The sequence below is a fragment of the Homo sapiens genome, chromosome 1, assembly GCF_000001405.40.
Source record: "Homo sapiens chromosome 1, GRCh38.p14 Primary Assembly".
Taxonomy (NCBI): Eukaryota; Metazoa; Chordata; class Mammalia; order Primates; family Hominidae; genus Homo; species Homo sapiens.
Window position 1 is genome coordinate 220,762,239 of NC_000001.11, and position 22,668 is coordinate 220,784,906.

At 42.7% G+C, this 22,668-nt stretch overlaps 1 protein-coding gene across 6 annotated transcripts in view, besides 2 other annotated features; it reads left to right on the forward strand.

Annotated features, from left to right (window-relative positions):
* The window catches only part of MTARC2 (mitochondrial amidoxime reducing component 2), a 36,494-nt gene extending 13,917 nt beyond the window's left edge, over nucleotides 1-22,577 (forward strand). For 2 of the 6 annotated variants that reach the window (XM_011509684.2, XM_047423617.1), the window contains 4 exons: nucleotides 672-812; nucleotides 17,780-17,841; nucleotides 17,930-18,001; nucleotides 19,540-19,694. In XM_011509684.2, coding sequence (XP_011507986.1) covers nucleotides 672-812; nucleotides 17,780-17,841; nucleotides 17,930-18,001; nucleotides 19,540-19,663 — 399 coding nt within the window. In that variant the 3' untranslated portion in view covers nucleotides 19,664-19,694. Of the gene's footprint in view, nucleotides 1-671; nucleotides 813-8,142; nucleotides 8,319-17,779; nucleotides 17,842-17,929; nucleotides 18,002-19,539; nucleotides 19,702-21,680 lie in introns of those variants that run through there. The other 4 variants (NM_001317338.2, NM_017898.5, XR_007061333.1 and 1 more) reach the window with 4 other exon arrangements.
* Nucleotides 6,889-7,183: an enhancer, noted in NCBI's record as "tiled region #12019; K562 Activating DNase matched - State 4:PromP". NCBI's record gives its function as "activates a minimal TATA promoter and a strong SV40 promoter by Sharpr-MPRA in K562 cells {active_cell/tissue: K562}" and the evidence as "EXISTENCE:reporter gene assay evidence [ECO:0000049][PMID:27701403]".
* Nucleotides 13,121-13,275: a silencer, noted in NCBI's record as "fragment chr1:220948701-220948855 (GRCh37/hg19 assembly coordinates)". NCBI's record gives its function as "represses an EF-1alpha promoter that drives an FKBP-Casp9 reporter gene in an ReSE screen in HepG2 liver carcinoma cells {active_cell/tissue: HepG2}" and the evidence as "EXISTENCE:reporter gene assay evidence [ECO:0000049][PMID:32094911]".
* Nucleotides 22,578-22,668: the final 91 nt, after the last annotated feature.

Here is a 22,668-nt window from a genome sequence, read left to right on the forward strand (position 1 = left end):
CTGGCGAGGCGCCTCCCCCTAAGGAAAACTGTCCCCTGAGCACCTACAGCACCTGGCAGCTATTTTTCAAATTATCAGATAATACAGAGTGCCGACATGTACGATGGTTTATACTAGGCTCAGTGCAAAAGACCAAAGCCTCTGATTCTGCCATGAGCTAAGGTTTAAAATACAAGGACCTCAGGGAATTTCTCTCCATAGCCCCTAAACTACAAGCTCCTTGAGGGCAGGGGTTTTTATCTGCTTTCTTTACTGCTGTTTCCCCACTAGAACAGTGCCTGGTAGGTGCTCAGTAAATGCCTAGTGAGTGAATGGTGTTGTTGAGGAAATTATTACTGGAGTATAGCTGATTGGCAGCAGGTCCTCGCTGTTTGAGGATGATGGGGGAAGGGGGTCGCTGCTGGAGTGGGAGTGGGAACCCAGGAAGAGGAAGCCTGGTGAGTGACATTGGCCCAGAGCCGGCCCTGGCTGCAGCCCTGTCCCTGTGTATGGGCAGGAACTGCTCCAGCTCCTGGCCACTGCAAGCCCAAACTCACATCTCTCTCCTTCCTGAACACTGCTCCCCTCTTCTGCACTGAAGAGGTTTTGCTTCTGGACATTACTTAGCTTTGTAGTTGGTCTAGGCCATTTTGTGGAGTGGTGGGGCCTGACTATCCTGTGTTCTTGGCAAGGTGGCCTACCCAGACTACTGCCCGCTCCTGATCATGACAGATGCCTCCCTGGTAGATTTGAATACCAGGATGGAGAAGAAAATGAAAATGGAGAATTTCAGGCCAAATATTGTGGTGACCGGCTGTGATGCTTTTGAGGAGGTAAGCGACCCACTGCTTTTGTGCATCATGCTCAGATGTGCTGCTCGCGGTGCTAAGGGAACTCTGCTCTAGCCAGAGCCAACTCAGATCCGCCAGGGTCCAGTCATTCACTCATTGCTGCTGCCATCACTCATTGCTTGCGGAGTTGTTCACCCATTGTTGCTGCCATCAACACGCTGGCCTCGGGGGGCGTTGCTCTCACCCGTTAATGCTTGGGCCCCAAAGCAAACAGTCAAAACTCGAAATTGTAGCAAATCTGAGGTTGGAATATGTAATCATAGCTCAGAGATAACTGAGGGAAGCGAAGATAAAGAGAAAGATAAAGCCATTTTCCACTTCTCTATCACTCAGCAGAGCTCTCAAAGATTTGAGACTTTCAGAAGACCCATGCCCCAAAGTGCAGACCAAGAGGACACAGGCAATCTGCCCCGGAGACATACCATGCTGTGGCCTGAGTTCTCTCCCAGGGCACCCACATGCTCTTCTATGGGATTGACACCAGACATTTCCACCCTTTTCAAGGACACACCTTTGTGGTCTTAAGGGAAAACTACATCAGAACCCAGTAGAAACCCTGAACTCTGTATGTGATATATATATAGCTGGGTATTGCTTGGTGATAAGAAGGATTAGCCATCATATTAAGCCTCAGGGGTGAGCTAAACTTTCCGAGCAGTGGAAGTAACAATGACAAATACCATTTATTGGGTGTTTACTGGGTGCTAGGCATTGAGCTAAATAATCATTTCAGATAAATTACTTTATTTGATCTTTACGATAACCCTGTGAAATTTGTGTTACTGTCTCCTTTTTATAAGGAAAATGAAACTCAGAGGTGTTATACACTTTGCCTAGCAGAGAAATGGTGACTGGCATTAGAACACAAGACTTGTAACTCCAGCATCTGTAGAGCTGGGGTGACAATTCCAATTTAGAGATCCCAAATAGTTAACTCTGAGAGAAGAGGCTCTTAAACACCCTCTCAATTCTTTGCTCCCCTGAATGAATGACCGTACTTCCTTTTGTGTGAGTAAAATGTGCCCTAATTTTTTTTTTTTTTTGAGAGAGAGTCTCGCTCTGTCACCCAGGCTGGAGTGCAGTGGCACGATCTCGGCTCGCTGCAAACTCCACCTCCTGGGTTTGTGTGATTCTCCTGCCTTAGCCTCCAGAGGAGCTGGGACTACAGGCACATGTCACCACCTTGGCTAATTTTTGTACTTTTAGTAGAGATGGGATTTCTCCATGTTGGCCAGGCCAGTCTTGAACTCCTGACCTCAGGTGATCCACCTGCTTCAGCCTCCCAAAGTGCTTGGATTACAGGCATGAGCCACTGTGCCCGGCCCCTAATTTGTTGATAAACATGGTTCTTTAGGATAAACCTTTGCACTGAGCCTTGTATAAACCATCGTACATGTAGGCACTCCGTATTATCTGATAATTTGAAAAATAGCTGCCAGGTGCTGTAGGTGCTCATGTCTATAGTCCCAGCACTTTGGGAGGCCGAAGCAGGAGGATTGCTTGAGCTTAGGAGTTTGAGACCAGCCTGGATAACATGGCAAAACCCCATCTCTACTAAAAGAATATAATAATTAGCCAGGTATGGTGGTGCGTGCCTATAGTCCCAGCTACTTGGGAGCCTGAGGTGGGAGGATGGCTTGAGCCCCGGGCCGGAGATTGTGCCACTGCACTCCAGTCTGGGTGACAGAGCGAGAACCTGTGTATTTAAAAAAAAAAAAGGAAAAGAAAAGAGCAATAGCAATGTATACAGAAGTTGTCTACTTGATGGTGTTATCTTGTCATTTGTTATCTAGTTGAATTCCTCTGTGCCTTTGTTAGTTTTTAAAATTCAATCATCCATTATAGGTCAGGCATGGTTTGTAGGAGCCCAGATACAGATGAAAAGATATGGATCCTGCTCTTCAGAATGTTCCAACATGAGGGGCATGGCCAGGAGACAATGACAGCCCAGTGTCAGACGTGCTTTAGTGTACACACTTAGAAGATACCAGAGATGTGTAGAAGTAGAACTACCTAAATCTGCCTGGAGAAGGGAGGCCTGGGCATGGGGAGGGGTCAGGTCCAGGTCCCCGGAAGCAATGCTGTTCACCCTATACTTGTGTGGATTGTGTGCAGGCCAGGGTCAGAGGAGGGTCTTTATGGGTAAAGGTGACAGGCAGTTGGGAGGCCTAGAAGCACAAGAGGCCATGAATAAAGGGGTGCTTGGGAGCATTTTAGAATCACAGGAGCATGGGGGTAAAGGAGAAATGTTAGGGAGGCTGCACTGGAGCTGGCTGGAGGCCACCACACCAAGGAGTTTGGATTTTATACTGTGGATATTGAGGAGCTGGTAATAACTCTGAGCAAGGAAGTAATTATGATTTGCATTCTTCCAATAAATATCTGCCGAATGCCTGTACAGTGTGCCAGGCACATATTATTCTGGCAACTCTCTTGAACACTCATTGAAAGGCAGGGAAGCCTGAGACAGAAATACCAAGGCCAGGCCCAGTCACTAGAGAGTCTTTGTTTTTTTCTTTTTTGAGACAAGATCTCACTGTGTCACCCAGACTGGAGTACAGTGGTGCAATCACGGCTCACTGCAGCCTCGAACTCCCCAGCTCAGGTGATCCTCCCACCTTAGCCTCCCAACTTCCCAACTAGCTGGGACTACAGGCATATGCCATCATGCCTGGCTAATTTTTGTATTTTTTTGTAGAGACAGGGTCTCCCTATGTTGCCCAGGCTGGTCTTGAACTCCTGGACTCAAGCAATCTGCCTGTCTTGGCTTCCCAAACTGCTGGGATTATAGTCATGAGCTACCTCACCTAGCTAAGAGTCTTTTTTCTAAAGTGCAGATTAGCAGGCCCTACCTGAAACCTACATGAGCATTGTGACAAGGCCTGCATCTCTGCACTGGCAGCAGCATTCCAGGTGAATCTCATGCCCACAGTGTCTGGAGAAGCACTGAGCTAGGAGAGTGCAGGGACCACGGGGGTCAGAGATGATACAGGGTCAGGGCTGGGAGGGCAATGGAGAGTGCCAGAGAGGAAGAGGCCCCCGACGTACTCAGGAGACTAGTTTCTTGAGGGAAGGAACTAGATTTTTCTAAGAATGAATCTAGACTTGGTGGGACCTGAAATTTATACAATTTGGGGGCCCCTTTAAGAAAAAAATAAAATTATTGACAAAAATATATAAAATTAACAAAAATAAAATTAGGTTCAAGGCCTTGAAAGGTTCTGTGCAAATAAGGCGCCTGAGGCTCAAGCCTCAATGGCTTGCCAGTAAACCCACCTCCCCCTCCCAGTTCTAGTTTCCCACATTGTCTAGTAGGATGTACATAATATCAGATTCATTAAATGCCTGGCAAACAGCAAATGAAATTCTCTGTTTCAAGAAGTATGTTACTAAAGATTGGAATGGAAATTAGTTCATGGAGTAGAAATTAATCCATGAAGCAACAGTTTTTCCACAGGAATCCTGTAATTCTTCCATTATTTTCTGAGAAACTTTCTTTTAGGGAATAAAATGTTTCCTGATTTGTTTCCACTAAAGAACAGATTATTTTGATATTAATTTTAGTTTAAAATCCTGAGCCAAGGAAATAAGAAAAAAGACACTCTTGTCCCTGGCTGAAGCATTTTTGCTTTCCTGTACCTTGCCAACCTATAATTTTTGCTCTCCTATAACTTGTCAAACTGAACCTAAGGCTAATGTAAACCTAATCCTGCTTTCTTGGGCAGTGAGAGTGGAGTTGTCTCTTCTTCTTCTTCTTTTTTTTTTTAAATAATAAACTGAAAATAAAAGTACAAAAAAAAAAAAAAAGGCTAGGCATGTCCTAGAACTTTGGGAGGCCAAGGCGGGCAGGTTGTGTGAGTCCAGGAGTTCGAGACCAGCCTTGGGCAACATGGTGAAACCCCACCTCTACAAAAAAAAAAAAATTAATTAATTAAAAGTGAAAAAAAATAAACTGTTAAATGAATTTGTGCTCCCAAGTCCATTTGTCATTTTATTCCTGTGCTATGATGGGCTTACAGAAGTAGCAAATCAGGTAGAACACTGATTTTTCTCGAACAATCCTCTGGCCACGCACATTAAAAAAAAATCCTTCTTATTAAATGACGCTAATGTTGCTGATTTATTCTTCCTTAAATTAGGAAGCCCAGTAGTTAAAGGCCTAATGCATTAATCTGTTTACCTGGTACCATCACAAAACTGTAACTCTTTCAATGAGTAGGACTCTCTTAAATATTAATGTAAAATGAATATTCAATAGGCCAATTAATCATTAAAAATTAGCAAACCTCAGCATGAAATTCAGGCCATCATTTATTGCAAAAACACAGAGTAATAGGAGAATGTATTGTGTAACATTTACTGTCTGTGGCCTAAAGTACTTTGTACTTTGTCCGTGTAGCTCAGAATATTAAACGATTTTTAAAAGGCTGCTTCCTTGGGTCAGTGTGGTGTGCTTGAGTTCCGGGAATGCAGCAAAATGAAGTTTAGAAATAATGAAATTGACCAATGCTTCCTATCTCTGTAGTTGGCCATTGTGGGGTCAGTGTTTACTGATCTTTGCTCACTGTCCTGATGAGATAAACTTGATATTTTTAATGGAATAACTTGTTTGTATCAGTCCTCACTCCACATTATGAAAGAATTGTGGAGAAGCTTGCAGAAAACTCTTGGTATGTTATCTTTCACTCAGGAAGTGTTTCTCCAGGAAACTTCCAGAGAGGGAGATTTTGAAGCTGAACAGCTGTGGTTGGACTCTGAGCCTCACTGCTTACTGGCTGTGTGGATTGGGTCCTCCCAGTCCTATCCTTTCCAGCTGTTGAGAAACACAGTTTTTGTAAATCATGATCACTAGACTTTTCAGTCCCCAGAAACTGAGTTTGGGTGGGTTAGGATTTGAGATAACAAGTCCGTTTTCTGGTGTAAGAACAGCAGTCTCTACCAGGCTTCAGGGATTTCTTGAAGTAGCGGTAATGATAACAATATACAAAAATAGCAGCAAGAATCACGACTCACTGCTATTGAACACTTACTACGTTACAGGCACCGTGCCAAACCCTTTACATGCATTATCTAATTCTAGTTCCCTTTCCAGACTGTGGGTCACAACCCATTATTGGGTTCTAATATCAGTGTAGTGAGTCCTGACTAACACTTTTAAAAGAAGTACAGGAAAGTATAGGGTGGAATAAAAGATATCAGAGTAAACTATATGTAGAAGGGTTAAGAATTGTCTTGCAAAACTCTCTTATGTGTACACATGGGAGAGTATTAGGAAACAGTGTAAAATGTGGTTTTCACTGTGGGTCATGGCTGAAAATGTCTGATAGCCATTGAGGCGGGTAGTGTTTTGATCCTTGTTTTTCAGATAAGGAAACTGAGACTCAGAGAAGTTGAGTAACTTGCTCTCGAGGTCGCATAGCCAGCGTGTGGCCAAGTGAGGACTTGCACTGTGGCTGGCCGTCAAAAGTCCCTGAATATCAGCCAACTACACAACTCTGCCACCTTGTTAAAGCCATTTTCAGGTCATTTGGCAAACCTGTATAGGGCCCCAGTCACTGTGGATGGGCTGGGGGGTCATGGGTGTCAGGGGCTGCCCTCTGAAAGAAGCAGGACAATTGTGCTCAGTAAAAAATGGAGAAGAAGAACAGGTATCAGCTTTGGCATAAGGAAGATTAGCCTGAATTTCATGTTCATTATCTCTGTTAGAAGCAAGCTGAAAGCATCTGAAAGTCATTTTTCTTTCGTAATGAAAAGAACCAAGCAGGGGCCTGGGGAATGCAGGTGTCCCCTCCCTGCAGGCGTTTGTGGCATGCCTTTCAAGGTAAAAGTTCCATGTCCTCATCTGGGGAGCTTCTGACATGCGTATATTTTTAGGGGACTCCAGCAAGAGTCTTGGATGGATTTGCCTTGATTAGGAAAAGCTCCAGTGATTAAAACAGGAGGATAGGCATCAGGAGTGGATGGAGTAGGAATACATTCACATTTCTGAAGAATTTGCCAACAGAACTCCTTTACTTAAGGAGATCTCCTTCTACATTTGCTTTTTTGATTACAACTGAGTCATTTGTAATATTTTCCAGAGGGGCTTTTAGGGGTTGGGCAAGAGGGAGTGAAAGATGGCGCAGCCAAGGACTACAGGACTTTCGCCTCTTTCTCATCAAGGAGAAGGAGGAGATGCTTCTGCGAGGTTCCTTCCGCACAGCCTCACACAGCTTTCTTATCACTACACCCAGTGAGTAAGCGAGACACCCCTGGAAAGCCCGCAGCTAGGGCGGCCAGCGGAAGGCGGATTAACAGGAGACCTGCAGTGAGATCTGCCTGGGCCGGTGGGTCCCCCTCTGGCTGCACATCGGGCCAGCGGACAGCCTTAAACAACACTGGTGCCTCCATCTCAGGTGCAGCTTGGGCAGAGGGAGCTTTTGAAGCTCCCCTGGGGTTTCTAGTGTGTAGCCAGGGGTGGGAACCACTGGGCTAGGGTTTTCCAGGGGAGCAAAGTCGTAACTGGCAGGAGTTGCGGATGTGCCTGGAGAGCAGAGTGGCCTTTAAATCATCGTGAGCTTGGCCTTAACCTCCCTGAGCATGATTTTCTGATCTGAAAGTTAACAGGTTCTACCAAGGGACTTTAAAGGCTCTTTGCAGCCCTCAAGTTGTTTAACTCCCTGGGCACTTTCTTCTCTCTCTCTCTCTTTCTCTCTGTGTATGTGTGGTCGGTAAAGGCACTTTTTCACAAATGTCTCTCAGAACGCCCTGTCTGATAGAACCGCTGCATTGGCTTTTTCTTTTTTTTTTTGGCGGTCAGATCACAAGGTTAGGAGATCGAGACCATCCTGGCTAACACAGTGAAACTCCATCTCTACTAAAAATACAAAAAAAAAAAAAAAAAAAAAAATTAAGCGGGCGTGATGGCGGGCGACTGTAGCCCCAGCTACTCGGGAGGCTGAGGCAGGAGAATGGCGTGAACCCGGGAGGCGGAGCTTGCAGTGAGCCGAGATCGCGCCACTACACTCCAGCCTGGGCGACAGAGCAAGACTCTGTCTCAAAAAAACAAAAACAAAACCAAAAACAAAACAAACAAAAACTCATATTGCACATGCTGTGTTCTAGCTTTTTTGTAAGTGAACTCGTTTAATCTTAACAGTCACTTAAAGTCCATTTCTCGAGATGTCCTTCACCATGCTTTTTCTAGTTTATCCCTGCCCCTGAGTGAGCAAGGCTTTGTGTGAGACCTTGTTGAACTGAATTCGAGGCAAGGACTTGGCCATTGAGTTGTGTTTATCAGGTCTCATCCACTTCTAAATATGTTACATTTCAGACCAAGGAGGAAGTGTGTCTTCAGAGACGGTGGTGCGCGGTATTCCCCTCGAGTGAGTGTGATACGTGAACGCACGCTTATCGATCCCTTGTAAGGAGAGGTCATTCACTTTACAATGCTACCCAAGAGACAAGCCCTTCAAATACAGATGTTGGAGTAGAGACGGCAGAGTGGAGGTAAGGCAGGATTGATCTCAGAGACCATGACCCCCCATACCTTTCTCTCGCTGTTCTCTGGAGGGCTGTGAGTCACTGCATGGACAAAGTGTGCTGAAAAGCAGTCCAGCACAGCCCAGGCTACTGCCTTTGGGAATTCAATTGGTAGCTGCCCCTCCCAGCCTCTGCTGTTGGTCATGTGGGACCACCCAGCCAAGCCCAGAGTGGGAGACTAGAATGTCTTATGTTCATCAGGCACTAAAATTCTCGTGGCCGTAACCTCCCCTGAGAGGAAACTGGTATGTGGGTGGAACACACAGACGGCGTCAGCCTGCAGGATGTCCCAGTCAGTGAATACACTTCAGAGCAACATGGCCACATCTCAAGAGCTCTGCTTCCCTTTTTGTAGCCTGTTGCTGGTGTTTCTAAGAGTAGGTGGTCTCCAGAGAACAGAAGCCAGCTTCTAAAAAAGCCTTAGGCAGTCCAGGCTCCGTGGCTCACGCCTGTAATCCCAGCACTTTGGGAGGCCGAGCCAGTCGGATCACCTGAGGTCAGGAGTTTCAGACCAGCCTGACCACTATGGTGAAACCCCATCTCTATTAAAAATACGAAAATTAGCTAGGCATGGTGGTGGATGCCTGTAATCCCAGCTACTTGGGAGGCTGAGGCAGGAGAATTGCTTGAACCTTGGAGGCAGAGGTTGCAGTGAGCCAAGATCGTGCCACTGCACTTCAGCCTTGGTGACAGAGTGAGACTGTCTCAAAAAAAAAAAAAAAAAAAAAAAGCCTTAGGCTTCTGTCTTTCTCTTCTGCTAGGATTTTCCAGGTCCAAGTGTCCCAAACAACAGATGCCTCCAGGCACATTTAATATGCATTAAGGTTTACAGAAATGTGTCTCATGCGATTCCGTAGGAGCATACACCAGATATTGTGTAATGTGAGGATACTTATCCTTGAAGGATAAAGCACACTGGGTCTCCACACAGTGCCGTTCAAACATGGGGTCATGAGAAAGCCCAGGGAGTCTGGAACCAGGGCTGTGGAAAACATTTTAGTGATTAATTTCAAGAAGCTTTTCAGATAGTTAATTTTTTTCTGATTATAAAGGATATTTTAAAAAGTAACTCATACTCTTTGCACAGCTTGAAAAACACAGTATAGATTAAAGAAACGCATAAAAATTCCTCATTGGGTAACAGCGCCCACCAGGGCCTCTCGGGGGGTGGGGGACAAGGGGTGGGAGAGTATTAGGACAAATACCTAATGCACGTGGGGCTTAAAACCTAGATGATGGGTTAACAGGTGCAGCAAACCACCATGGCACAGGTACACCTATGTAACAAACCTGCACATTCTGCACATGTATCCCAGAACTTAAAGTAAAATTAAAAAAAATTCTTCATCATCATACTATTAAAAGGTAGCCTGTGATAACATTTTGTTGTGTTTCCAGTATGGTTTATACAATATTGTAGAAATAGTATTAAATTCCACCATTTTCATTTAATGGCACATGGCAACCAGCTCTGTCTTTGCAAATCCTTCATTTGCGTGGTTCCAGTGGTTCCATGTTAGTCCATCCTGTGACTCTGCAATAACTTGTTTAGCCATTCCCTTATGATTGAGCATTTAGGTTGTTTTCCATTTTCTCTCACATAAATAATGAGCAGCTTTGTAAAATGGTGGGTATCTACATTTCCAAAAGTATTCTTAGGAAATGCTAATGCAGCATTTTAAAGGCTCTCTGTATATATTGCCAAATTGCTTTCCAGAAACCTTATACCAATTTATATTCCCTCAAGGTGAGCATAAGCGTGCCCTTTTCATTGTGCTCTTCCTGGCATTGCTATAATTTTTACTAATTTAGTAAGTGAAAAGTAATGTCCTATGTAAGTTGGTAATTCTTAGTGTATGGCATCCTGTCTTAGTCCCCAAATTCTAAAATATTCATATTTGCAGCAAATGTTTGAGGGTTTCCTAGTGCTAGTCTCTGAGATAGATGCTAAGATTACAGAGATGACCTCACTGTGTCTGCCTGCAAGGGTCTCAGGGCCAAGTGGGATCAAGGCTACAGTAGGTAGAGGGCTGCAGCTGAAGTCAGGACATCAGACTTGAAGGATCCCAGTGAGAAAGAGGCACTCTGGGCAGGGTGTGTGTGTGTGTGTTTGTGTGTGTGTGTGTGTGTTTGGGGGCAGTGGATGCTGAAGACTTGCTTGATATGAACTGGATCCAATTGCGGGAACCATGGCATGGTCTTTCTTTATAAGAAGAGTGATTAGATTTTGAAATATGACATTAAGGAATATTCATTAGCTTGTATGTCTTAAGAATAGAAAAAATAACTTTCGGTTTGAGATCATTTAACTCTGGTATAATGGGAAATATATATTTGGGCTTCGTCTCTGGTTCCTGGCACAAGCTCCTAAGCCCTTGGAATTTCCCGAGTGACGGGGTAAGAGGAGTTTCTTTTGTCATTCATAGCAAGCCCCTTTCAATCATACCTGACTTTATGCTAGTGAGATGACTCTTGGGGAAAGAGGGGTGTCCCTAGACAGCTTTGGTATGTGAGCTGGTTCTTAGAAAGACTAAGCCATGATTAGAGGGTTGGGACTTTCAGCCCCACCCAGCCCTGATCTCAGGGGAAGGGAGAGGGGCTGGAGGTTGAGTTCAGTCACCAATGGCCAATGATTTTATCAATCATTTACATGAAATGAAACCTCCAAAAAACCCCTGAAAGATGGGGTTTGGAGAGCTTCTGAGTTGGAGAACACATTGAAGTTCTGGGAGGGTGGTGCACCCGGAGAGGGCATGAAAACTCGGAGAGCCTCCATCCCCATCCCTTGCCCTAGACAGCATTTCCATTGGGCTGTTCCTGACTTGCGTCCTTTATAATAAGTCAGGAACAACAGTAAAGCCTTTTTTGAGTTCTGGGAGTCATTCTAGAAACTTGTCAAACCTTAGGAGGGGATTGTGGGTACCCTCAATTTATAGCCAGTTGGTGAGAAGCATGGGTGGCCTGGACTTGGCTGGCATCTGGGATGGGGGGCAGTCTTGTAGGACTGAGCCCTTACCTAAGGGATCTCTACTTGCTTCTAGTAGTGAGTGTCAGAATTGAGTTGAATTGTTGGACACCCAATTGGTGTCAGAGAATTGCAGAAATGGTGTTGGAAAAGACATCATGTATTTGATGTCACAGAGAATCTAATGAACTATCTAGACAAAAATTATTTTTAAGATGTGCTGTTGGGATTATACCTCTTATAAAAAATAAAGCAAAAAAGGCAAAAGAAAAAAATTAAGATTTATTATGAAAAACAAATAATGTTTAAATCTTGGTGAGGAGCCTTCCAGATTTATTGCTATAAATGTATACACATAGCTATGTATACAGATTTTTTATGTACATGGAATCATCCTCTATTATATATAAACACACACACACACACACACACACATATAAAATGTGCCTTGTGTTTTTTTCACTCAGCAACACCTTGAAAAGTGTTCAGTGTTAATAGATATAGACTCACATCCTCGTTTTTTTTTTTTCAGACAGGGTCTCACCCTGTCGCCCATGCTGGAGTGCGGTGACGTGATCTCGGCTCACTGCAACCTCTGCCTCCCGGGCTGAAGCCATCCTCCTGCCTCAAGTCTCCTGAGTAGTTAGGACCACAGGCACACACCACCACACCTGGCTAATTTTTGTAATTTTGGGAGACACGAGGTTATATCATGTTGTCTAGACTGGGAGCACCCTTTTTTAATACCCGAATAATGATTATTGCACATATGTCCCATGTATATTTAGCCAGTCTCCAGGAGGTGACTTGGAGCTTTCTATAATCATGTAGAGTCATTGATATCAAGTCAGAAAAATTGCTATGGATTTAGAAACAGAATAGTCTTATTTACATATTCCCTCGACTTATCACAAAATAGTTTAAAGTTGTTTCTAACAATTGTGCGTACAACACAATATTATAAACACATGAGTAGAAAACCAGGAGCAGTGAAAGTGAGGCGCCAGTCCTGCGACAGAGATTAAGCAGATGAAGGGGCTGGGATGGTGGTGGCAGGAGGCTCAAGGAACAGAATCCCAAAGGCTTGGTGGCCTGGATCTAATTTGAACTGCTGCTCTGATCTGTGGTCTTACAAGTGATGTCTTTCATAGCCCATTGCCACGGCAGGCCATGCAGGCTCTTTCCACCTCACTCTCAGCGGTCTTATACTTCTGTGGTCAGCTGGTATTTAAGAACTCACCTTGGCCTCCATTCTCACCTGACTGTGCACTCTCTCTGGCTATACATAGAGAGATGGACTATATAGGTAGAGATATATATTCTTCACATCTGTATCTACTTCCTCTGTCTGTGTGGATATAGCCATGCAATTGTGTGTCTATATAGACCCGTGTGTGTGCGTGTGTGTGTGTGTGTGTACACACATTCGTATGCATCTACGGAGAGAGAGACAGGAAAAAAGGGAGGGAGACTCTCCATTAGTAGTCAACTTTTAAGTTTCATACATCCAATTTTTTTGCTTGGCAAATGCCTACATGGATCTATGAAGGTTTCAAACAGACAAACACCCTCAGTTGTGTGTTCCACAACACCCACCCGCCCCACCCTTATTTCACTTCTCTCTCTGGGTGCTGCTTGTGATGGAAAACCCTCTAGTCCTAATTTAGTATTTACAAGATGTGCACACGTTCATTCATAGCAAATCCTCAGGATTATTTCCTCAGAGCTGAACCCTTATGTATAGTACTCCCCTTTCTCCTTGCCTTTTCCTCTTCCTTACCTTGCTTCTTTCATCTTGAAAACTCCATAGTTTTATCCCATCACTCTAAGTAAATGTCATTGGGGCCTGGATTTCGGCAGACTGCGGAAAGGTTGATTACCAGCAGGGGGCGCACTAAGCGTCTCGAGCTGATTTTGTGTTTAGGGAAGACCCCGGAATCTTTTTCTCTACCTATTTACTTATTTATTTTTATCTTTCCAACTTTTATTTTAGGTGCAGGGGTACAGGTGCAGGTTTTTTATATAGGTAAATTGTGTGTTGCTGAGGGTTTGGTGTACAGATTATTTTGTCAGGCAGGTAATAAGCATAGTACCCTATAGTGTTTCAATTCTCACCCTCTTCCTACTCTCCACCCTCAAGTAGGCTCCCGTGTCTGTTGTTCCTTTCTTTGTATCCATGTGTATTCAACATTTAGCCTCTACTTATACATTAGAACATGTTGTATTTGGTTTTCTGTTCCTGCAGTAATTCTTTCAGAATAATGGCCTCCAGCTCTATCTATGTTGCTGCAAAGGACATAATCTGTGTTTTTTTATGGCTGCATAGTATTCCATGGTGTATGTATACCACATTTTCTTTATCCAGTCCACTGTTGATAGGCATCTAGGTTGATTCCATGTCTTTGCTGTTGTGAACAGTGCTGTGATGAATATACGCGTGCATGTGTCTTTGTGGTAGAATGATTTATATTCCTTTGGGTATATACCCAGTAATGGGATTGCTAGGTTGAATGATGGTTCTATTTTAAGTTCTTTGAGAAATCTACAGATCGCTTTCCATGGTGGTTGAACCAATTTACATTCCTACCAACAGTATATAAACATTCCCTTTTCTCCACAGCCTCGCCACCTGTTATTTTTTGACTTTTTAGTGATAGCCATTCTGATTGGTGTGAGATGGTAGTTCATTGTGGTTTCGATTTGCATTTCCCTAGTGATCAGTGATATTGAGGATTTTTTCATGTGCTTGTTGGTCGCGTGTATGTCTTCCTTTGAGAAGACACTGGAACTTGCTGAATAGCGTATTTCACTCTTTGTATGTCTAGTAGAATGTAATGGAAATTTTAATTTCATGCATTATTAAATTTATTTTAATAGTATATAATTTATTATTTTAAATAACTGAATTAATAATTGCATTTAAACTTAATTAGCATAGTATTTTTTTTACTGCAAATAATGCTTTACACCAAAATGCTGACAATGATCAGATTAGGTTGAGAATATATATGATTATAGGTGGTGATTAATATTTTAGGAAGTAACTAGAGCCGGCATTTGGGGGTGTTGCGGACGATTCTTACGAATCCAGACAATTTGCTCTTTTAAACGCGGCCTTGCGGTTGTCTAACAGTGAGAATAGATGACTAACTGAATTTGTCAGACTCCCTGCCTTCTGTCATAATAACGACGCAGAATTGCCACCGTTATGTGTCTTGGAAATCTTAAATTCTTTAGCTCTCACACACAAAAAATTGAACGGAAGATACTTGGAGAGCCAGGGTCCATTCAGCACAGCGCGGCTGGGTCGGCTTCCATTCCTGGGTCCGCAGCGCCCTCGTGTGGTAGGTGCCCAGCCTTCCTGGCTGCATCTCAGGCCAGGGTACCCATTGATCCTTACTTCCCAGTACAGTAGCTGCCTTCCTGGGTCACACCCCATCGGAGGTCACGATCTACCAGGAGGTTAGCCACCCGCTGTGGTTGTCTTGTAGTTCTTCGCAATAAGTTACTGGCTAGGAGTGCTTGTAATAAGTCCTGAGTAGGACATGGCGATTCCATTCCTTACACATGTTGTGTACACGCAGTTATCCTCAACTGGTTGGTTGGACCGTGGCGTTTATTTCCACAAAGCAGCAGTTTCCTAAAGGATGGTTTAGAACCCAGTGCATCCATGGAGACCTCCTTACTTTAGTCTCTAGCTGTGGTCATGCCCTGTAGGAGATTTCTGAGTTTTGAAGACCCGGTTAGGTACTGGAGAATCATTTGCATTTGCTGAAGCACCACTATAGGCCCGGGAGGGGGTTGGAGGGGCTGGCTTGCCACTGAAGGAGGACCAGACATGGCCTGGTCATCAGCGGCAGAGGGAGAAAAGTTATGGGGCTAGTCCCTACCCCCTGCCCTGCTCTGCCTCCTGCAGAGACTTCAGACCTCTTATGCCTCCTGCCCAAGCGAAGCAGCCAGGGGAGTAGGAATAGGTTTCTTTAGTTCCTAAGTCAAGACGATTGTTTCTCCGAATTCCTTAGACTCACAGTCTATGTTGTTGATTTATGGAGGCAGTAGTGAGGCCCCGTACCCCAATGCCTCCTACCTTGAGACCTGGACAGAGGATTGCCCTGTGAAATTCAAACCTTAAATCAGTAGGTAGCAGCAGAGACAGGCATGGTGCCTTAAAGATAAAGAATACAGATGGCCTCCCTATTCACGGAGGGGCCTGCAACCTTTATATAGCTCTACATACATCCCCTCCCGTGTGCAGATGCTTCTTGACTTACCATGGGGTTACCTCCCAATAAATGCATCATAAAGTCAAAAAGTTGTAATCTGTCTGGATATATGTATTGGTCTGTTCTCACATTGCAATAAAGAAATACCTGAGACTGGATAATTTATAAAGAAAAGAGGTTTAGGCTGGGTGCGGTGGCTTACACCCTGAAATCCCAGCAGTTTGGGAGGCTGAGTTGAGCGGATCACCTGAGGTTAGGAGTTCAAGACCAGCCTGGCCAACATGGCGAAACCCCATCAGTACTAAAAATACAAAAATTAACCGGGCATGGTGGCACTGCCTGTCATCTCAGCTACTCAGGAGGCTGAGGCATGAGAATTGCTTGAATCTGGGAGGCGGAGATTGCGGCTGCAGTGAGCCGAGATTGCGCCACTGCATTCTAGCTTGGGCAACAGAGTGAGACTCTGTCTCAAAAAAAAAAAAAAAAAAAAAGAAAGAAAGAAAGAAAAGCGGTTCATGGTTCTGCAGTCTGTACAGGATGCATAGCGGCTTCTGCTTCTGGGGAGGCCTCCCGAAGCTTCCAATCATGGTGGAAGGCAAAGGGGGTCCAGCTTCCTACATGGCAGAAGCGGAAGCAAGAGAGCGAAGGGGAAGTGCCAGACACTTTTAAGCAACCGGATCTCGCAAGAACTCACCCACTATCATGAGAACAGCACCAAGGTGGTGGTGCTAAACCATTCATGAAAGATCCACCCCCATGATTGAATTCTGTCCCGCCAGGTCCCACCTCCAACAGTAGGGATGACAATCCGATATGAGATTTGGTGGGGACACAGATCCAAACCATATCATGTTATACGTGTATATGTAATATTGAAGGAGTTAAGATCACATGAACCCAAAATATGCCGCTCCAGCATGTTGACTTTTTTGAGTTAAGAACACTTGAAAAACAGAGGTGCAAGAAGATCACTCTGCCCTTCCGTTTCTTAAAAGCAGGAGATGAAATTCCTGTGTAAAAGATGTCTCCCAATACCAGAAGGAAAGTGTCATGCTTATCATCAAGGACAAAAAGTTGAGGCTGAGGGAAATCTGTACAAACCCTGTCAAGCCAATCCTCATCTTCCCTGTCCCTCTCTACCTAGTTAAGTACCCTAGTCCTGCCACATCTTTGCCCAATTCTGCATATAATGTAAGTGTTCAACTCTAATTGCATCTTCATTTTGTCATGAAGGTTCCAGTGCCACGTAAAAGTTATATTAAATAAATATGTATGCATTTCTCCTGTTGATCTATCTTACGTCAATTTAATTACTAGGCCCAGCCAAAAAACCCTAAGAGGGTAGAGGTGATTTTTGCCTCCCTACAATATAATCCATATAACCACCTTATATATGTATATGTATGTGTGTGTGTATAAAAACAAATCATATTATATATATAATACAATCTCTATATTCCTCATATATGTTTCTGTATATGTGTGTGTGCACATATAAACATATATATGGTTAAAAGCTGGGTAGTTCAAAGTCCTACCTTCAGAATCAGTAAGATTTCAAACCCAGCTGCTTTACATCCTCCAGTGTGACCTTGAGACAATTTTGTATCTCTCTAGTCCTCCATTTCTTTGGGTAAAATGGGGCTCATGATAGCGCCTCCCTCAAAGTTGTGAGGATTGAGTTAATCCCTGAGGCAAGTGTTAGTGGTTCCCACGTTCAAGGGTGGGAAGGCAAGGCACAGTCAGTGGCAGTGGGATCAGGACCCCATTAGCAGGCTGCCTGTCTGTGAAGGTGGCAGCAATGAATGTGTGAATCATGACTGCCTTCTCTTGGGTGATGTCCCCACTCTTCAAAGAACCTTCAGATTGTAACTTGGGTTCCACTGCAGCTTAGCTACAAGGGAAGTGTGGGTTTGTCTTGCAAGTTACACATTTCTCATTGTATATCTACACATTGACTTTCCTGTTAATTTATGACTCTCATGGCAAACTGCACTCTATAGAAGATCTGTCATCCCTGCGATGATGGAATCAGGGTTTTGAGACTGGGAGTCAAGAGGTGGACCTGAACTTGCCAGCATTCTGCCTCCCTTTGAGTCCTCTGGGAGATATTTCTTGGTGTCACCTTGTGCTGCTTTCTTCTGCTATAATAGTTTCATACTTAATATGAGCCAAAGAATAAACAGACTCAAAGGCTAATGAAGCCACCATTTAAAAGATAACTTTCTCTTTTCTCTTAGGATACCTGGGATGAACTCCTAATTGGTAGTGTAGAAGTGAAAAAGGTAATGGCATGCCCCAGGTAAGGAGCCTAGCTAGACCCCAGGACTGTGGTGTGGCCCATTCATTGGTTCCTAAGCATCACCTAACCCTTGGTTACTGCATAACAGGTGTATTTTGACAACGGTGGACCCAGACACTGGAGTCATAGACAGGAAACAGCCACTGGACACCCTGAAGAGGTAGAATACCACCACAGCCAGTGTATTTTAAATATTATCTCCACCCCAGAACTACCTATGGGTTTAGGTGCTATGTCTGCTTTAGGGAAGATATGACCTTTCTCTCCGGAGAACCTTCCAGTCTACCTTCTGACTGATTCGCGTCTATTGGTTAATGAGAGCACTGTTGCTTCCTCTCTTTTTCTGGATGGATCCTCTAGTGCTTTGGATAAACTTTTTTTTTTTTTTTTTTGAGAGGAGCCTCACTCTGTCCCCCAGGCTGGAGTGCAGTGGCGTGATCTTAGCTCACTGCAACCTCCACTTTCTGGGTTCAAGTGATCCTGCCTCAGCCTCCTGAGTAGCTGGGACTACAGGTGTGTGCCACCATGCCTGGGTGATTATTGTTATTTTTAGCAGAGACAGGGTTTCACCATGTTGGCCAGGCTGGTCTCAAACTCCTTGCCTCAGTGATTCGCCTGCCTCCCAACATGCTGGGATTACAGGCATGAGCCACCATACCCAGCTTTGATAAACTTTTAATTCTATAATACTACATTTTGAAATTTTAGTATCTCTCATATCAATTTTTAATACTATTTATATATGTCTTTCCAAATGTAGGCCTTAAACACTTTATTTAATCATGTTTATTGCAACTCAAATTCCTTTATTAGAATCAATATCAAGGAATATGAGAATAATTGAAACTGCATAATGAAATATTAGAAAAAAATGAATGTAATGAGTTGTCAGAGCTTTTTTACCAAGGAGCTTCTTTTATGCTAAGGATTTCTCTTTTGTTTTGTTATTTAAAGAAGTTTGGCTGACTTTAGTTCCCAACGAAGATAGTGATTTAGGCTTAACATTCTTTGGAGCTGTATTCTATTTTGTTTCTCTTTCCTCTGTTTTGTGGATTGTTTCCAATGGGTTTAGCTTAGAAAAGAGGTTATTTCATGATGACTTCAGATTTACAATTCTATTTTGTTTTTGATTTTTAAGATGTAGTGATAATTATTTAAGATGCTGTGAAAGTTATTGTTTTCTTTAGACAGGACACTGGAAAAAGATTAACATCTGCAGTAGTCCAGACCCATCTGCCAACTTCATGTCTGTCTGAATTTTTGTTCACCAGTGAACCCCAGCTTTGGGCTCATAAACCTGGAGGGGGTTGAAAGCATGGTGCTTAAATGCACTAAACAGAAGATTTGTAGAGTTCAGGGCCATTCCATTTTGAGTTTTAGGGGCATTTGTTTCAATGAGTTGTGAAGTTGAAGGTACCCATATAGACAAAGTATTTATTTTATACTTACACATAAGTTTTTTTCTTTTTGGACTTAAACTGAAGCCATGGAGAAATTGCGTAGACTTTCAGGATACTTCTAGAAAAACTAGAATTATTTGCAGTTTGACTAATTGTCCACAGACTTCTCTCGCAACATTTTAGAAAATTCTTGCTGTGTATTTATAAATAACTTGGAAGGCAAACTTGAGTTCTATTGAGAATACTTCGATTATTATTTCCTTTTTGTGTCTGATGATTGAATTTTTGCTTGTTTCAGCTACCGCCTGTGTGATCCTTCTGAGAGGGAATTGTACAAGTTGTCTCCACTTTTTGGGATCTATTATTCAGTGGAAAAAATTGGAAGCCTGAGAGTTGGTGACCCTGTGTATCGGATGGTGTAGTGATGAGTGATGGATCCACTAGGGTGATATGGTAAAGGGTCAGCTTTGCTTCTGAATACGCTGTCTTGAAGCCATTGCTGCATTTTCTTGTGTTAATTTTTTTTATGTTATGCTGCTTTAATTCTTGAGAGAATGAACAGTTTTATATTCTGATCTTTGGAGTTGGAAAATGCCCTTAATTTCTGTTCCCTGCAGTAATTTGTGTACTCCTACCTCAGCCTTCTCCACCCCTATTTCCCATTTAATGGTAAAATGCTGATGGAAGAGGCTCAGCAGAAAGACAGGTATATGTTCACAGCTCATTACAGAATATCATTAAGGAATAGGGAAATGAAGGTGATTGATTCTCAGAGTTATGTACATTCTCAGAGTTATGTATTTATTTTTTCTGTCTCAGATAGAAGGGAAAATGTTTAAATTATTCAACATCAGCTTGGGAAATGTTTAAATTGAATGTCTTTTATCAAATGTATTTTTAAAGTATAATTGAAGTTTGAAAAAAAATCAGTGCATCATGGTGACTGGGTCCTGAATCATGAGTTAGAAAATAATGTTCTCACATTGATTTCATTGTGTCCAATACAGCCCTCACTCCTGGAGGCAAAAGCCTAACTCCCAAATTAAAGGAATGAGAAAGTTGGACAGAGGACCTCAAATTGGAGATTTTAAGCAAGTTTTCTCATAAAATCCATGACCCAGTTCTTTAAGTTACCTCATCTCCAAAACTCTTGACCATCCTTCTCTCTGATTCTGGCCTGAGCTTCTCACGTGTGTTACTTGCCTTTGTAGTCTTGACACCCACAACCTGACCCTCCTTAAGGACAGTGTAACACAGTGGCTTAGAAGGTGTAGATCTAGCATTAGATAGACTTGGGTTTGTAATCCAAGCATCTTCCTAACTTGGTTGAGATGTTTAACTTCTCTTTAAGTCTCAGTACCCTTATCTGCAAAGTGGGAATAATAGTACTTACCAAAACAAGCAATAAAAGTTATCTTGAGTATTAATTCATATAAAGTTGCGCTGCAACACAAATAAAGTGCTCAGTAAATATCAGTTATGTTTTTTATTGCCATCATTCCATCATGATCCAGTCTTAGGTTCCATAGTGGGTATAAAGATGACACAGGCTTTGCCTTTGAGGTGGGCAAAAAGGAGCTACACTTCTATTGATGACTGTTATGACTAGGTATTTGCATAACCATAACCATATTTCATAACATATTTCATCCGTTCTGAGATCCTATTCTAACATCTCTGATATCAGTCAGCTTCTTATAACATTCAGGATGCCTTTTGAAAAATATCAGTGATGCATAAAATTATCAGTGATGCATATAATAATGGTGCATCTTACAATTGGTATATCTTGGATTTGATGAAATACAATAAGTATTAATACTAGAGGGGAAACTGTGAAGCTCCTAAGTACCTGGCATTTCTAAAAGCCCCATTTGGGGAGAGTGGACCCAAGCCTGAGCCATCTAGCTTGAGTGAAACTGATCCTGTGTCCTGCTGTTCCAGTCATGATTGACTGGACCTGGATCATTGTGTGAGCCAAGGGCTTTCATGTGTTCTCTGCATCTGAGGGAGCCCAATGGCTGTGAGATACCATAACGATTGAGGGTTTTCCATATCACTCCGTCACAAACTCATCCAATCAGATCCTGTTTTGCAGTGGATGGAGGCAACAAACATCTGTGGTTCACTCAGCCTCAATTTCCAATTGTCTCTGCTGCCCAGAAGGCCTTGTGTAATCTTTATCTGTGAGAGGATCTCTGTGAGATAGATATGATAACAGGCACTTTATGGATGAGAAACAAAGGCTTAGATAGGTCAGCTGACGTAGGGCCTGGGAGCTGATGTGAGTTAGAGCTAATGGGCCATGCTTTCTGCACAGCACTGCACCATACATTTATATGTGTAACCTCAATAAGTGACTGTTTTGTGGGAGTTTGAATTATTTATGAACAGTAGGATAAACAACCAAATAACCAGAGATTCTTATTATTTATTCAGGCTTCAGCAACCAGGAGGGATTGACTGAGATCTTAACAACAGCAGCAACGATACATCAGCAAATCCTTATTATCCAGCCTTCAACTATCTTTACCCTGGAAAACAATCTCGATTTTTGACTTTTCAAAGTTGTGTATGCTCCAGGTTAATGCAAGGAAAGTATTAGAGGGGGGAATATGAAAGTATATATATAAATTTTAGGTACTGAAGGCTTTAAAAATAATTAAGATCATCAAAAATGCTATTTTGAATGTTATCATGGCTATTACACTTTTACTTCCTGACTTTAATATTGATGAATAAAGCAAGTTTAATGAATCAACTAAAAAGCTGCAAAAATGTTTTTAAAATGTGTGCCTTTTATTACCTATCAGTCTATGTTTTGGGAGAAATGGGAAGCAACAGATCACTGTGTCCTGATGTGCAGGACGCATGTTACCACACTCACAAATGCCTAATATTGGTCTTTATGTGGCCATTGAGTCCTGTTGACTTTCCACTCATGTGCTTTTTACTCTAGCATTATGGAATCTGGGCTGTACTTGAGTATGGAAATTCTCTTATAGACTTAGTTTTAGTACTCTATTACACCTTTACTAAGCCACATAAAAGTAATCTGTTTGTGTGTAACTGCCAGATATACCACCTGGAATTCCAAGTAAGATAAGGAAGAGGATGACATTTAAAAGAGAATGGAATTTTGAGAGTAGGAATGCAAGGAAGACAGCATGAACATATTTTTTTCAGTGCAAATAATTTTTTCGTAACAAAGAAACGAACAACTTTGGTATGATCTTAAGCAAAAATACTCACTGAAATAGTATGTGGATGAATTCACCTACTTACAATTTTATGGTTTCTTTGTAAATAATAAATGTGAATCTCAATCCTGCTTTATCTTTGGTATTTATGAGTCTTCTTCCTGGGTTTTTCTCTTTATATTAGAATTTGAGTCACTGCAATTTATTTTTCCTTACCCTTTCTGATT